Here is a 17,788-nt window from a genome sequence, read left to right as displayed (position 1 = left end):
CTTGCTAAGGACTTTGAGTATTTTAGTATGTTTATAGAAATGAAGTTCTTTGTTCTGATTTCATTACAAAAATATAATACAATATTTTTGTATAGTATTTCAAAGTCTTTTCACTTATTCTTTGCATTTGCCTGACCTATCTTTGTTTCTTCTTTTATTTTTACATTTTTTTCCATTTGTTTTACTTTTTAAAAGTCCTATTATAAATGTCAACAGTATAATTGGGTTTTGGTTTTAATCTCAATCAGAAAATCATCATTTTTGATTAGGAAAGTTTCAATCATGTTTATATCTTGCCATGACTGTGTGCTTAGCCTTAGTTTTATCATTTTGAGATACAATTTGCTGTTTTTAAATGCTGACTGTTTCTTTTGTTTTGTTAACAAATAAGCTGGCTTTTTGGCTTCTATATTTTTCAGCAGTTATCTTTCAGTTTTTAAAATCATTCTTGAATTCACTTTTGTATATATATACGTATATTTTATATATACACATACAATTCAGGAATACAAAAATAATCTCTGACTTCTTGAAGAATTTAGAAGCTTTTACTTTCTGCTGCTTTCTTCATGACATTTGCTAATCTATCTAGAAATACTGACATATTATTTCTGAATTTTTTCACATCTTTTCCTTCTTTTAATTGTATTCAGTTTTGTTATATTTAAGCATTTATTAGATGGAACTCTACATGTTTATCTTGAATAAATATTTACCATCAGGCATCTTCTACCTGGACTTCCCCGTTGTAAATTCTTACTTGGATTCGTTTTTTGAGTTGGCCTTATAGTTCAAAGTTGCCTCTCTGGATTTCTGGTTGTCACAGTGCCCACGTTTCTCAAGTTGATGTAGTGAAGAAACATAGAGGCTTCTTTGGGTTGTCTTCTTGTTTGGCCTCATTTTTCTTAATCAGGGCAAAGCATTCACTGGTCACTGATAGATTTTCAATCCAGTTCAATCTATGAGTCTTGCAAACGTTGACTGACATCTCTACTTTTCTGTGTCTTTGAGGATTTCCATCTTTGTTGTGTATGACTTTTGGGGTATAGTAATAAATAATAAATAGAGAAGGGGGAAAGTGAAACTTATAACTTTTTACTTTTTTTTTTTTTTTTTTTGAGACAAAGTCTGGCTCTGTTGCCCAGGCTGTAGTGCAGTGGCGCGATCTTGGCTCACTGCCACCTCCACCTTTCAGGCTCAAACCATCCTTCCACCTCAGCTTCCCAAGTAGCCGGGACTACAGCCTTGCAGTCCCAGCCTGGCTAATTTTGGTATTTTTTGTAGAAATGGGGTTTCGCCAGATTGTCTAGGCTGGTCTCGAACTTGTGAGCTCAAACGATCCTCCTGTGTTGGCCTTCCAAAGTGCTGGGATTACAGGTTTGAGCCACTGCACCTGGCCTAACTTTTTACCATTTTAAAAGATAAATAATCTCATTTACTCTTTATAGCAATCCTGTAAAGTTGGTAGTAAAGCTGTTTCACAGATGAGGAAACTGAAATTCAGAGATATTAAAGGGTGTTCCCAAGATCACATAACTAATAAGTGGCATAATCTGGGTCTACCCCAATCCTTGGTTTATAGCCTCCATAAAACAAACACTTGTTGAATGAATAAGAAAATGGACAAATAAATGAATGAAAACACAATGGAATAAACTTGGACAGTGCTTATTTTTTAAACCACCTTTTTCATTTTTGACCAGATGCTAAACTTTTTATAGAAAACCTAAGATATTCAAGTTTAAAAGGATAAACCAAAACAAGCAGAATGAGTCATTTCAATTAAAAGAGGGACACATTTAAAAGAAATATATTCTCCAAGCATGAAAGTTTATTGTTGGAAATTTTCAAAAGTTGTATCTTTGCTTTAGAGCAGAAAGAGTGATGGATTATCTTGACAGAATCAAAATTCATCAGTTTTTGATTATCTAATTACCTTTCTACCATAGCTTTTAGCTATCAATTAGGTTTCCATTTGGAGGTCTTCCCACTGCACAGTATGAATTCCTTTACTATGTAAAGGTATGGGGAAGGTAGAACTGGACAAATGTCATGGGAGCGCGTGGCCAGCTGGAAGGCACAGAAAGCAGAGGGCACAGACTTTCCACATTCTCTGAATAGATCTGAAGAATTCAGCTTTGGCCCATTCTCACTGACCTTTCTCCAGAGTATTTTCTTTCAGGGGCTCTTCACTGGAAAATCTTAATTTTTTTTTCCTCTTAAAGGATAGCCAAATTCTTGAGAGGGAAAATAATTATCTGGTTGAAACATTAGAAGAGGGTCAAAGGCTTCTGGTGGCTTTGGCTGCTTCATTTTTACCCATTTTCGAAGCCTCATCTTAGGCTGTGTCTAGACATCCAAGGAGAGTTGGATACAGGTCTAAAACACTGAACTGAGCTGATTTACTGGAAGTCTCATAAATTCTGTCGATGAAGCTTCCAGGTTCTCACCACATGCTGTAGCTGTATAGATAACCCACAGCAATTTGTACTGACTGCATTTTTTTGTTTAGTCTATTTCAGCTGCAATCATGCAGATATGAGCTTCTGAATAATTCCACTATTACAACCAAGCTGAACTATGTGTTTTAGTTTAAAGAAATAAGTCACTTCAATGCTAAAAAAGAAGTATGAGAAATTTTATGCCTTAGGTAAAAGGCTTTTAAGCGTTACACTAAAGAGAACAGGACCTCATGATGAGACCATGTTTTGACTGTATGTGTAACTTTCATTAACATTTCATAAGAATACCTTTGGGTGTTAAAAATCCAAAGTTTAATTCCCTTACCTATGTCAGCTGTTCAAACATCTGAGCCTAAATAGTGAATGTTGGCAATTATAAACAATGTTTCAAAATCATCTTTGAACAAATTCCTTTGCACAATTATTGAATCATTTGATAAAAATAAACTTTTAGGAGTGGAATTTCTGGGCCACATGGTTTGCACCTAATTAAGGCATTTAATGCAGATTCCCAAACTGGCCTCCAGGGAGGCTACACGCACAGTCGGCCACATGTATTACATGAGGAGGACAGCTTCCTCATTACCACCTATCATGACCTTTCTCACGTCTCCTATTCTGAAAGCCCAATCATGATATCTGGATGGCTGTTTTATTTTACAATTTCTGGTTGCCAGTGAAATGAAAACTTTTTTTCATATGTTAATTAGTCATTTTTTGGGAGGGTCTTAAATGTATGTTTCCAACAGATGCATTCCACATTTTTTTAAATAGTAAACTTGTCTAGTGAATTTAAAATGGGTATAATTTATGAAACCATGACTTGATAAACATTTTCACAAACCACATATTAGGTTAATGCAAAAGTAATGGCAGTTTTTGCAAAAACCGCAATACTTTTGCACCAACTTAATAGTTGCGTGTAAGGAATATACGCACGCGCGTGTGTGTGTGTGTGTGTGTGTGAAGTCTTCTATTCTCTAAGCCAACCCTTCAGCCAATATTTTCAAGTGTTTCCCATATGAATAGGTTTCTAATTAATGCAACATCCTTTTAGCTCTCCTATGCATTTGTTCTATTTTAAAAGGATTTTCAGAAACTGAGATGCCAGCAGCTGATCACAAATCTCCAGATGCAAGAAAAGATATTGGTGGAACTTTTGCCTGTTTTCTGGACAATAAATATTTGCTAATGTAAGATGAGTAAAATTCAGGATATATTAAAGACCATGAACACCTGCTCAAATCCATTTTGTGCCATTTATTATCTTATGTGACACTGCCTGAGGCAACCTTTCTGAATCTGTTAACCTACCTATAAAATGGGGATTATAATATCAACTTGAGGCTTATTATAATGAAAAATGGATTATATATGTGAAGAGCTTGCTTAACACAATGCCAAAGATAAGGTAAATATATAAGAAAAATATACAAAATTCAAACACTTTTATCATTTATTATTTCCACTGCCTTTAGGTCCTGTGCACGTGACCTCCTATAAAACCAGGCCTCTCCTATACTGAATGCATATAGTCTTTTTAAAATATAAAAGTAAATTTTGTTTAGCATTATTATATTTCATTGTGTTAGTCTGGGCCCATCCTTCTAGTTTGCTCAGATGTCTGAATCCTGATTCTGGCAAAAAATATATTCATATTTCTTCCTGTTTTACATTATCTGCATATTCAGACTAACATCATAGTCCTATGTCATTACCAGTTTTATTAAAACTCCAGTCAAATTACTTTCTTACTCAGACCCTGTATCCAGATTGCCAAATCATGCAAGACCAAAACTATACAACTGTGCTGACTGCACTCACTTCAGATTTATAACTACAACTATCAAATGGGTACCCAGCCTTTCCAGACATCCTTACTACAATTCTGTAGTAAATATGCTTTCTCACTTTACCAGATGATTACTACTACATACATTTTCTTCCCTCAAATCTCTAATATACCCTTCACTCATACTTAATGGAGAATCTTGCTTCATACTTCACAGTGAAAAAATACATAATCAGATAAGAATAATCCATCTTCTTTCCAACAAATCCATGAGACTACCTACATTTGCAACCACAGATTCTGCCTTTATCTTGTATAATGGAAGGCCAAACCTTCAACTGAGACATGGGGTCCTGTCTCTCCTAAGGTCCGCATGAACTTCCACCCTGTGTTCATTCCTTTTATACAGTTTCTTCCTTTCAACTGCTTGGATCATTCATATTGTATACTAGCATGCCTTAAAAGCAGCCATCTGAAAACAGGCGTGCACACGTGTACACACGCACATGTATGCGTGTGCACACACACACACTTTCTCTAGACCTTTCTTCACTCCCAATAACTGCCCCATTTCTATTTGCCTTTATAGCAAAACTCCTTGAGTTATCTTGAATTATTTTTCCATTCTCTCCCTCTTTATTCTTTCCTCAGTCCACCCAAGTGAGGGCTGTAATCCTGCTACTCTATAGATACAGCGCTTTTCACGGTCATGTGATCTACATCTTGCCCAAACAAATTGTCAATTCCCTGTTTTCACATTACTTGGCTTTACTGTAGCATTTGTTGACCACTCCCCCTCTGTCCTCAAACACCTTCTCCTCCAGGCTTCTGTGATATCACACCCGCCTGACTCCCACACTGCTACCTCACTGACTACAGCTTCTTAATCTCTTTTTGTCTCGTCTTCCTCTTAAAGGCCTTTAAATTCTGGGGGTGTCCCAGGGTTCTCTCATGGCCTACTTCACTCTCAATTTCTCCAGTGGTAATCTTCCCAGTATGGTGGCCTTTCATATCATTTAAAGGTGGCTTAGTTCAGATCTCTCCCCTGACCTACAGATTCCCATATCCAAGTCACTATCTTCTCTCATTGGGATGATTATCACAACTTATAACATCTTCTTGATGGTTTTCTTGCTCCACTCGCCACAAAGAAGCCACAGAGATTGTATATTTTATCACCACCCTGTTTACTATCCTCCAGTCACTTCTCACGGCGAGTGGAAAAAGGTCTGGACTTCTTGCCCCCTCATTTTCCTCCTCTGTTTCAAATGTGCATTTTCATTCTTCCCATCCTCATTCTGCTCCAGCCACATTGGCCTTTTTATTTGCAGTTTCTTAAATATGCCAAGCATGTTTCTTCCTTGGGATTTTGCAGGCGCCAATCCTTTTGCTGGAAATGATATTCTATCTCATTCACATTGATAATCCACTAATATCCCCTAGAGAAGCCTCCCCTAACCCCTCTAGCTAAAATCCTGCCACCCTTCACCCATTCTTACTCTTTTCATTATTCCGTTTTCATCATAACAATTATCTGTATGTAAAATTAGGTATGTTAACTATCTGCTGCCTCATCTAACTACAGCACAAGTCCATTGATGGAGCTTTAAATGTTCACCAATATATTCCTAGCATTTATGTTATATAGTAGGTGCTCATTAATATTTGTTGACTGACTAGTCTCACCAGTATTTTCTCAGCATTCAAAGTTCTTCAAAGATTATTGACAATAAATTAATGACACAAAGATCTTACATTATCACAAATTAATCATCAAACCTATGATGTCAATAATATAAATTTAATAAATTAGGACTATAAATTGTCTTTTACCTTACAGATAATATTGCTGATTTCACATATCTACAGTTAAAGAAAACCCAACAGTACAATAAAACTACAAATTATGATAAAAGTTAAATAGGAAAGAACAACAAAACCACTTCAGATAAATTAAAACTCCATGCAAATTTTTGTCAAATAGTAACTCAAAAGTATAATTACACACTGTTTACTAAACAACCTTACACACAGTATTGAAACTTAGAACATGCAACCAAAACTCTATTCAGAGACAAAATCACAATCAGGTACACTTTATTATTAAAAAGAAACAAAAAATAGATTGTCAGCATTAAATTGAGCAAGTTGGAAAATTATAAAACGAAGCAAAGAAGAATATAATATTTTATAAAGTCAAGAATTAATGTGGAGAACCAAATATGTTATTGTTACATTTAGGAGTTTCTTCTCTAATGAATCAGACAATAAAACAGAATTCTGTAATATAAAAGATGAGAAAACAAAATTAGAAATGAGACGACATATAGTTAACAGACAAAAGATTAAATTATCTTAAGAGATTCTAAGTATGCTTTTATGATAGTAAATTTGTATCAATTATGGATGTTACATATAGGAAATATAACACCAAAATAATAAAATCCCATCTGACCAGTATCTACAGGATAAATTGGAAAAAAATTTAAAAATTTTCTCCACAATAGTTCTGGCTTCAGAGAGTTTTATATACCTTTTTCCCTAGATTTTAAGAGTAAGCTTCTTTTATTCAGAACCTCTCAGAAATTATAATAGTCTAATACATATTTTAAATCTCCAAGAAATGAATAGGCTATACAGGACTTCCCAAGCTTACTTCACCTTTGAATCTTTTTTTCCCCCTTGAGCTTCTCCTGGGGCTAGTATTAAAAGGAACAAACTTTTCAATATATCGCTTTAAACCAATCTCACTCATGAATAGAAATGTGAAACTCCTAAAAATATATATTAGGAAACGGAACTTAATGAAAAATTTAAAGACCCAGGCATTACTACCAGCTAGGATTTTTTCCTAAGATAACTTTCTATGAGAAATACTAAGAGACTACTTGCATTTAGTACTATATATAAACTGACCGCTAATAAATGCCAGACATCTCTGAGCTACAGTTGCTCTCTTGATATCTCAGATTTTGAAATCTGGATGTGCTCCCAAATCTTCTCTTCCCCTAAAGTTCCCTCCTACTAGTAAATGGCAGCTTCTTCCAAAGAGATGCTTGTGCCAGATGCCTAGGTGTCATTCACGACATCTCTTTCTCCCCTACCTCATTTCCAATCAGTCAGTTCTGTCAACGTAGCCAGTTAATAGCTCCCATTTATTCCTCTATTCCATCTTTCTAGTCCAGGATGTCATCACCTCTTATCTGTATTACAAAAACCCAACTCCTGCACTTGTTCCTCTCTACTCTCCATTCTGCAGCCAAACTGAACCACATTACTCCCCTTCAGTGGTTCCCTGCTGCATTAAAGACCAACAAAGCAACCCTAACATGGCCTGTAGGATCATAAATGATCTGGCCCCTGATTCTTGCCCATCAGGCTCCAGCTATCAGTTCCATGAACACACAAAGCTTCTCCCTACCTCAGGGTCTTGGCATATGCTGTTCACTCTGCCTGGAACAATCTCCCCTTCTCCCTTCACCTAATCTATTTCTATGCATTCTTCTAGTGTTAGTTTTGACCATTCCCTGAAATCCCCAAATGGACAGGTCACTGTATTATAAATTCTCACAGTAGTTGTAATTAGCAGTTGTGATTAAGTAATTACTGTTTGTTATCAGCCTCTCTCACTATACTGTGAATTCCATGAGAATAGGGGACATGTTCCTCTTAGAACCTAAGCACAGCGCTGGTGTTTGGTAATAATTTGCAATGAATGCATGACAGAATAAAGTGTTCGCCAATGGTTGAATTAGCTTAGTATCCCTCATTTATTTAAAATACTTTTCCTTGGTCAGACACAGTGGCTCATGTAATCCTATCACTTTGGGAGGCTGAGGCAGGAGGATGGCTTGAGCCCAGGAGTTAGAGGCTGCAAATAAGCTGTGATAGTGCCACTGTACCACAGCCTGGCAACAGAGCAAGATCTTGTCTCAAAAAATATATGTGTGTGTGTGTGTGTGTGTGTGTGCATGTGTATATATATATATATTTTATATATATTATAAATACTTTTTTCCTTATCTTTCTATAGCATCCTCAAAGATCAATGCAACAACCATTCAAATTGGAGGTTGACCGTTGCCTGTTGTCTCAAAGTACCATGATTCATTGCCAAAGGGACGAGTTTTTTGGACCTCAGTTGATTTGATATTTGATCTGTTATTTCCTTCTCTTGATATAGCAAAGAGCAAATGATAATAAAACATGAATAGAAAATTAAATAAGAATTAAAAATTTGTAGAAAATATTTTTAAATATAAGAGCATTGCAAAACACATTTACTGTAAGTGCAGCTGCAGAGTCAGCTGAGTCACCACTAGTCCTGACCTTCTCTGGCTGCCAATGGCCATGGTGCCAGGTCCTTGTCAGCATTAATCACAGTAACAAGTAATGAGCTGAAAGTGTGAATTTTGGTTATAACTGTGGGGGTCTTATTTATGGTGAAAAAGGTCATAAAGAAAATAGATTACAATTTAAATGGTAGAAACCTCTCACAATATAGGATGTTTAATATCTAACTATTTTTTCTCATCCCCAAATGCTAAAATAATTTGATGTCATATAAACAAAGAAAATATCTAAACAAAAATAGAAAATGCGGGAGTGATGAGTTAGTGGGAACTTGATCTCCTGGCCTCTTGAAGGGACTTCAGCTCTTGGCCCCTTTTCCTTAGCCTTCATTTTCTTCCCCTCAAAAGAGGAGGACTGGCTGATTTGACTGGTGAGCTATAAAGGAGAAATTGAGCAAGACGTGCCTGCAGGACACAGGCATTTCTCTCCTATTCCAAGATGTTCTGATGAGCTCTGCCCTCTGGTAGAGGTCTGTGGTTGCTCAGCTGTGGTTGTGATTACTGGGAGTTGAAGTATGAGCAAGACATTTGGCCACAGATCTGGATCTATTTGTTTCATGCCTTATCTGTTTGCTTTTTGTGTACTGCTTCTAAAAACAGCAACAGCAACAATTTTAACTAGACAGGGGAAGTAACTGGTATGATTAATTGGCCCCCTAAAACTCCAATAGTGAGGCATGGCTTTGAAAGGAGGGTGATGGTTTTGGTTCCAGATGGATTAAAGAGGAAGCGACAGAAGGCCCTCACAGTGAAAATGCCCAGTAGGCAGTTGGAGATGTGGGGCTGGTGTCTCAGGGTAATAAATAATAACCATGTTGCTTGTGGCTGTGATGCTGGGTGCCATGTGAATTTATTTTATTTTAGTACAACGTATTAGCTTCATTAAACTATTTTCCCATAGGGGGACAAGCCAAACAGCCACAGGTCATGTGTCTACTTGGGCATAACCAATACCAGGCAAATTAGCCAATATTACAATGTCATTTTTAAAAAGTTGTTGTTGCAATCCAAATTTCATTTAGCGCAAAGCAATGAAAGGAGTGGAATGGAATAAAAGGAACTGGTGAAGAAAGCAGAGAGAACCACAATTATTCTCAGTCTGTCTCATTTATTAGGTCAGAATATATGGTAATAGCCTGCTGAAACTCAGCATTTCTGAAATCAGAGGAATAAATAGAGAGAGAGGCCATTGGTCCACCCATGCCATGACTTTTCACATGACAGGAAAAATTGCTGCCCAGTCTGTGCTAGCTTGGCCTCTTCCTTCCATATTTACTATGTATAAAAATTACTCTGTGTGGGATCTTTCATTTGAGTTAATGACTAAATGATAATAGTATATATATATATATATAAATAACTCACTTTAAAAGTTCTAAAAAATAAGATCTTTGAGGAACTATCAATGCAAGGCAAGCAGCATCTTATCCCAGAAGGCATAACGTAGGTCAAGAAGCCAAAAAACAACAATCGTGAAATCATATGGACAGTTGCAGATTCATGTTATCCCACAAACACCCAGAGGGAGTTAGATGCGAGCTCTAAGAGCCTGGGACTGCGTTGGGGCTGTCTGTGTTAGTTTATCAACATTAAGATACTGTGAAACAGAAAAGGGTGGAGGAAAATTTCAGAAGAATGAGAGTGGTAGGATCATGGTGCCAATGGTTTTATGTAATGGTTCCCCACAAAACTCGGCTTTCAAATTATTTCTAAATTATTACCTCTTGGTATTATTATTGTTGTTATTTAAATTCATGTCAAGTCATATCAAAGTGAGTTCCTTGAACTGATTTTGAAAAGTTTTATATGAGCCTTTATTACATGGAAAAATAGGTCTTCATACTACTGCTCTGTCTGAGGCTTCAAAAAGATGTCTTGGATGCATCTGGGAAGTTTGGGCCTTTGCGGATAGGGTTGCCTAAGATGTGCTTGGGCCCAAGATGCTGTGTCCCCTGGCCCCACCCAGGGAAATCACCAACACCACCGCCACCTTCATTCAGACTCTGCAGCACCCCACTGCTAACATTCAGTGAGATTGGGATGGGGTGAGTTTTGCACAAAATTATTCATGGCCCAAAGTCTGGGCCACATAAGTAGTCTTGCTGCAAAAAGTTGGTAAAAACCTGGTCTCCATGAGGCTTGGCTATAGAGTGATTCGTTTGGGGAGGCTGTTTCAGGTGAACTGACAGTTTTTAAAATAATGGATATAACCGACTCTTCAAAGAAAAAATATCATTCTCAATTTTAAAAAATCATGCACTTCAGTGGCAGCCTGTGTTTTGCATGAGTGATATTTCAGCAGACAGATGATGACAGTGCTGGTGATGGTCCTGAGGTGAGGGACTGTATGGCATGCCCTTCATCCCTTTAAGACTTTTCATGCATTGTTGCCTCTATTCCCCTGACTGCTTCACCACCTGGTAAATTTCTACTCACCCTTACAGCCTCAACTGGAATATTCCTTCCTCTGAGTCTAGCCCACTTAGCAATAATTGCATAAATTATTCTCCCTCTGTATTCACTTAATGCCTTACTTATACATCCATTGAGTTGAACCATAACTCCCTTCTATTTGTGGGATTTATTGTCCTCAGAGGTGGTAAAAGTATAAACAATTTAGAGTTGATTTACATAAAAATCATGGATAAGAGAACCGTAATGGACTAGTAAAAACGGTAGCAATTTTTAGGCATATCTTCAACCTGAAAGTTTCTATTAAGGGAGACTTCCATGCCAAGTGTCTCTGTAGAAGAAAATGGAAGGACAAATGAATTATGTAACTGATTACATGAAAAGTCATTCTGTATAATGTTCCTATGGTATTCATTTCTTGATTTATTTGTTTGATAAACATGTCTTGAGAAGCTATGTGCCAGGCATTGTGCTAGGCCCTTAGGGGTACATAGCGATGAACAGAGATAAGGTTGCTATTCTCATGAAGCTTATATTCTGGCATTACAGAGAGAAAAAAAAGGATGGTAAATGGATTGCTAAGAAGGACACTAACAACCATTTATTCAGATTTCACTGTCAAGGTACCAAGTAAATCTCAATATCCCAATGACATTTTCCTCTTTCCCCTAAAAACAAAACAAAAAACAGACATCTGTTTTATTCCAGTAAGTTTCATCATTTTAACAATTACTCAAAAGGCTGAAAATAATTCATAACCCAGATAAAGAAAATATTTACAAAGCTCCTAGTGGTTTTTAAAAATTGTTGTTTAAAAATGTACTCTACAAAGGGGTCTTTGACCAGATGGCTGTTTCAAAGAACAATGATTTCATGTTTTAAAACTAACTTTAAAATGGAGGTGTCTTTGCCTTCCAGGAAAACGTAGCAGCTGTGAGATTATTTCACTTCTTTTTCTTCCACATTTTCCTGGATTTAATTGTAAGCAAAAACAATATATAAAAGAGAAAATTGTAGCAACACAGAACAAAACCTATTGCAAAACAAGCAATTGCACATTTTTAACCACAACGAAAACCCAAAGGCAACCTTTTATAAAAACTTAGCTGAGGAAGGAGACAACATAGCACTTTCCTAGGGAAATCTGCCTCTTCCCTGCTAAATTTAGAATATAACCCTCTTACATCTCAATAAAATCAACATTGACTTGGTTTTCTTTCTTTCTTTCTTTTTTTTTTTTTTTTTTTTTTTTGAGATGGAGTCTCACTCTATCACCCAGGCTGGAGTGCAGTGGCATGATCTCAGCTCACTGCAACCTCCGCCTCCTGGTTTCAAGCGATTTTCCTGCCTCAGCCTCCCGGGTAGCTGGGACTACAAGTGCCTGCCACCACGCCTGCCTAATTTTTGCATTTTTAGTAGAGACGGCGTTTCAGCATCTTGGCCAGGATGGTCTTGATCTCTTGACCTCATGATCTGCCCACCTTGGCCTCCCAAAGTGATGGGATTACAGGTGTGAGCCACCATGCCCAGCCTGACTTGGTTTTCTATAGGAATGAATATACTTGAGGAATGACTGAAAAGGCTTCAGGAAATGGCAATGGAGAAATTAGCCACAAGAAAGAATATAAGGTAACTGCTGTCTTGTGCCCTGTGTTGGTCAAGTCCTGCCAACCACTGTGTCCAGTTCTAGGAACTAAATAAAGAGGTGGGGCACAGTGGGAAGGAGCTGGAGAAAGCCTCCAAAGTGACTAAAGAGAAGAGAGATGAGGCTAAAAGGCCAAGGGAAGATATCTGCAAGATGACAGCAGCAGATGAAGTACTGTCTGAAGCAATATGGAGCCCCTGGCGTTTTAGCCATTGCCATTGAGGAAAAAAATGAGAAGAAACTGACAATGTGGCACAAGGATATGAAGGATAATTTTCTGATAATGCAAAGAAGCCTCTGACAATCAGATCTGCCTGATTGTCAGTAACTAGCAACGCTCTAAGATGGCTGGAACCTGGAAAGGAAGAAGTTCTGGAGTAAAACAGGTGCAAGTTGATGCGATGCTACTTGATGGAACTGTGTGGGCATAAAAATATGTCCCACCCAAAGGTAAAGCCTGAAGCCTAAGACAGTCACATAAGCTGTCCATGTGCCTGAACTGAAGGACTGTACTTTTCTTCTCTTATGAGGAACACATGTGGATGTCCACTGGGGTATAGTTGCCAAAGAAGACTGATGAACTATACTGACAAACAAGGAACCTAAGACTCTCTCCAAGTAGAGTTAAGCCCAGCATCACAGTGGTTTAACAAAAGGTGCTTCCTGACACAGATAAAGTCAGACTGACTTTTAAATATGTGGAGTAGATAAACAGAGATATCCCATCTGGAATATCCTTATCCCCTTATCAAATTTTTCACCAGCTAGTTAAGTAAGCTTCTGGAAATTTCATTTTTTTAAGTCTTGAGGGCTTTAGGTTTCTATAAGAATTAGTATGATGTGATGGAAGGAATGTAGACATTGCAATCAGATAGAGAAATTCAAACCCTGATACTTGTTAATTATGTGTGCTAGTCTGTGACTTTGAACCAAGTTACTTAAGTTCTCGGGGACTCAATTTCTTTGTTGTTAAATGGGGATAGTACTAAGAGGGTTGTTTTAAGAATTTGAAATAATGCATGCAAAGCATTTAGCATGGTGACTGGTAGTGATTATTATTAAAATGGAAATGTTCCTGGAGAAAGTGATTAGTTCACAAGGCCATATTTCCAGATGATGTAATTAACTGAGAAAGGAAGATCAAAGAAGGAGGTAGACAGAATGAGCGGCGAGGATGAGCAACGGACAAGACAAAACACAAACTTCAGCTCCTCCATAGCTCTGCCCTGAGTTTGGTGGAAACACTGGGCTAAGCAGTCTTAGAAGCAAGTACTGCAATAGCTTTTCATCTTGCTAATGTATTTTAGATATGGTCTTGCCTACAGGTGGGATATGACATCTCTTGGTCTCTTTCAATGCCAATGTTATATAATTTAGAAATTTCAGAGCAAAGAATTGGGAGGACCAAAAATTATATGTTAGATTTTTCTTTTTTAATTTTTGTAAATACATAAGAGTTATACATATTTATGGGGTACTGTGATATTTTGATACAAGTATTCAATGTATAATGATCAAATCAGTGTAACCGGACTATCCATCACCCAAAACATTTATTATCTCTTTTTGTTAGGAACATTTATCTCAGTGAGAAAGAAACAAGTATAATACTGCCAAACAAAGAAGCTAACATTTAAGAACAGAAGTCTATAATTATGGAGTGGGGTCTGCAAACCAGCTCGAGTCACTGAAAAAAAATCCTAAGATCAAGTTCATTGGTATATTTTAAAAAGTAACAATAATTACTTATATTAAATACGACAGCTATTAAGTAACTTATAGTACTAAATTATATATATCAATAATTTGGGCTCTAAGCTACTTTGTAGAGGCAAAGAGCTGATCCAGGAAATGTGTTTCCTTCTATTAGAGCTCCATATGGCTCAAGAATGCTTATGTTGGGGAAAATGGGGGTGTCAGCTCACAGATTACTTAATCTCCATTGGGGTAGGATTTTCCTGGTTACTCTCATCTTGAGATTGCCATTGTGATGATTCATTTGTGAACCATGGAGAAAGAAATCGATTTCAAGTGTAGAGTTCATCTGGAACTCTGTCATTTTTCCATCTCTTGAAACATTTCAGCAATCTCCTCAGTTCCTTTCCGTGTCTTACCTTACCTCCTTTCAATCCACTCTGTATTTCATTAAGTAGTATATCCTTCTCTATACTTCTGTCAGTTCTCTTCTGAAAATCTGGAGGAGTGTCTTGTTCTATAGCTTTAAAACTTCCCACAATTTAATTCTGCTATCACACTCTCTCCATTATCACACATACACACACACACACACACACACACAATATTATCACATTTAGTTTTTCATAACTTCCAGTTATAAAGAGTCTCTTTCCATCAAAGCAAAACTTGCTGTTCCTTGAACATAATTGTCTGTCTCTGACCATGACTTCCCATATTCCAATCTCCAGATGTGGAATGCCACTTTTATCTAGTCCTTTCACCCATTTACAATATTTCAGGATAACTTAATTATTGATGCTTGGCTTGAACCATTCCTTTCATCTCTCACTCTGTGTGTGCATGTATGCATGCATGTGTGTATTTCTAAAATCTGGATACTATTAATTTTCATGAATTTGAGTTTCAGTGATGCTCCTTATAAGATTTTCATAAATGTTTTTCTTTTTGTCTTTGTATTACTAGCCTGGAATTTCTTTGGATGATTTCTTAAACATTTAACACAATAAAACAATGTATGTAAAAGCAGAATGTAAAGTACAAAGTGCCATGTAATTATTCAGTACCATTTTTATATCCTCACAAAACATGTAGTTATCATTAAATAAATCGGTTGAAGCTTAAAACTGAGAGAAAAAATCCAGTAAGAAGTAAGCTGTAGCATATTCATAATCAAGACTAACATGTATTCACTCACATGCTCATTCATTCCTTCATTCCTGAATAACTACCATATGCTAGGCAGTGTTCTAGGCCCTCAGGATAGAGCAGTGAATAAATTTTTTAAAAAAGATTAAATTTTTGCCTTCACTGAACTTATACTAAAATGGAGAAGACAAAGCAAACAACAATGAATAAAAATATCAAAAAGTAATAAGTGTCATGAACAAAATAGAGCAGGATAAAAGAACAGAGTGATGAAGGTGCCTCTTTAGATAGGGTGGTCAGAAAATGAGGTGGTGGCATTTGAAAACAGACATGAACTGAGGGGGTGGGGCATGACTCACGGGAGTTTCTGGGAAAGAATATTCCTGGTGAATGCAAAGGCCCTCAGACAGGAACAAGCTCAACATATTCAAGAAGCAGTAAGGAGGCCAGTATCACTGGAGCAGGGTGAACAATGCGGAGACTCAGAAATGAGTTCAGAGAAGGAGCCAGAAGCCAGACAATGGAGGGGCTCATAGGCCATGATAAATTTGAATTTTTTTGTCAGCTTGATGGAAAAATACACGGACTTTAAGCAGAGGGGTCTGATAGGATCTGATCTATTTTTTAAAAAATACCACTCTGGTTGCTGCATGAAGAACACACTAACTGCAGGATGACAACAGCAAGGAGGAGGCTACTGCCAAAGTCAAAGAGATGACTAGGCCGATGAGGCCAAGGGGTAAGAAAGAAGAGGCTGAATTCTAAATATATATCCAAGGCAGAGCCATCATATGTTTCTGAGAAACTGGGTGCGGAAAGTGAAGGCAAGAGAAAAATCCAAGGTGATGTTTAAGTTTCCAGCATGAGCAACTGGGAGATTGGAGGAGCATGTCTGGGTGGAAAGACCAAGAGTTTAATTTTAAGCTGGGGTTGGTAGGAAGAAGCCTGGATATAGATTTGAAGCCCAGAAGAGTAATCAGAGTTGGATGTGTACCTTTAGGGTCAACAGCATATAGATGGAACAAGCGCACTTAACATTTTCACGATAAAATTCGTGACTAAGGTGTTCAGGATCTTGCTGGAAATCAAGATTGATGATATTGACAACAGCAATGTAAAAGAACCAAGCACATGCATTTGCTAATTAATTTGTGCCAATTTGGGAATTATTCAAGTGCAAACACCCATACACTAGTATTCTGTGCAAATGTATAGACATAAGAGACCCTTTTTGGGGTACAATAGTCCACTATCCAAATCTACTCAATTAAATAGTTTTCTAAAGTTTGTGTATTTCAAATGAATATGCTTTTACTATAAGAATCTGTGTATTAAAAGGAACTGAAAAATGCTTCCAATTATTTTTCAATCCAACATAAATTAATTATTCTCAAGCTTTCTCACAAAATAATTGCTCCCTCCAAAGGTGGCAAAGCATCAATCGTTTCCTCAACACACACACTCAATCATTTCCTACAATAAAGGGAGAAAAATGACATACAGTCTGGCAAGATTATGCTTATGAAACCAGTTTGCTAGTGAAAATAAGCAAAGTGAATTTCAGCAACAGAAAACTGGCCTAACTCCTCTGGGTTAAGCATGGGGAGACTGATCTTGTGTCCCGGGAAAAGTCGCAGTGATAATAGAAACTACCAGAGAAAGAACATTTTAACCTCCAAATTAAGTCAATCACTGTGGTCTGCTGGGGTTCTTCTCTAGTCAGCATGTGCTGGGGTTTGTTATGGAAATGCCACAGAACTTTAGAGGCAGTGAAGTAAATGGTACAATGAGACACTGGCTGAGTTTGTATACTTATGCAACAAGTCACATGCTGATATTCCTGATTTTTAACTGAAGGCAGGACACAGCAGGGATGTTTATGAGCTAAAGGGCTAGTGAATCACACACTTGCCTTCTCCCCAGTGGCATGGCAAAAAATGTATAGTGAGTGCTTCCCTGAAGGTGACTACATTTGTTACAATTCAAACTTGTCCAACCTGTGGCCCACGGCTGCATGAGGCCCAGGATGGCTTTGGATGTGGTCCAACATGAATTCGTAAACTTTCTTAAAACATTGTGAGGTTTTCTTGCAATTTTTTTTAGCTCATCAGCTATTGTTAGTTTTAGTGTATTTTATGTGTGGCCCAAGACAATTCTTCTTCCAATGTGGCCAGGGAAACCAAAAGATTGGGCACCCCTGCATTACATATTGTGAAACACTAATGGCCCTTTGAAGGGGCTATAAATGATGAGTTGTGACAGCATTAGTAAAGTAAGAAAA

The 17,788-nt window shown here is 37.2% G+C and overlaps 1 protein-coding gene across 19 annotated transcripts in view, besides 1 other annotated feature; it reads right to left on the bottom strand.

The window, feature by feature from the left end:
• The window catches only part of DNM3 (dynamin 3), a 576,969-nt gene that overhangs the window by 122,437 nt on the left and 436,744 nt on the right, over window positions 1-17,788 (bottom strand). The gene's annotated exons all lie outside the window — the stretch shown is intronic.
• Window positions 17,029-17,683: an enhancer, noted in NCBI's record as "OCT4-NANOG hESC enhancer chr1:172247487-172248141 (GRCh37/hg19 assembly coordinates)". NCBI's record gives its function as "activates a minimal SCP1, AML or CMV promoter by ChIP-STARR-seq in naive H9 embryonic stem cells {active_cell/tissue: H9 hESC(naive)}" and the evidence as "EXISTENCE:reporter gene assay evidence [ECO:0000049][PMID:30033119]".

This window comes from Homo sapiens, chromosome 1 (genome assembly GCF_000001405.40).
Source record: "Homo sapiens chromosome 1, GRCh38.p14 Primary Assembly".
Lineage (NCBI taxonomy): Eukaryota > Metazoa > Chordata > Mammalia > Primates > Hominidae > Homo > Homo sapiens.
Note: the sequence above shows the minus strand (reverse complement) of the source record. Positions and strands in the feature narration are given on the sequence as shown.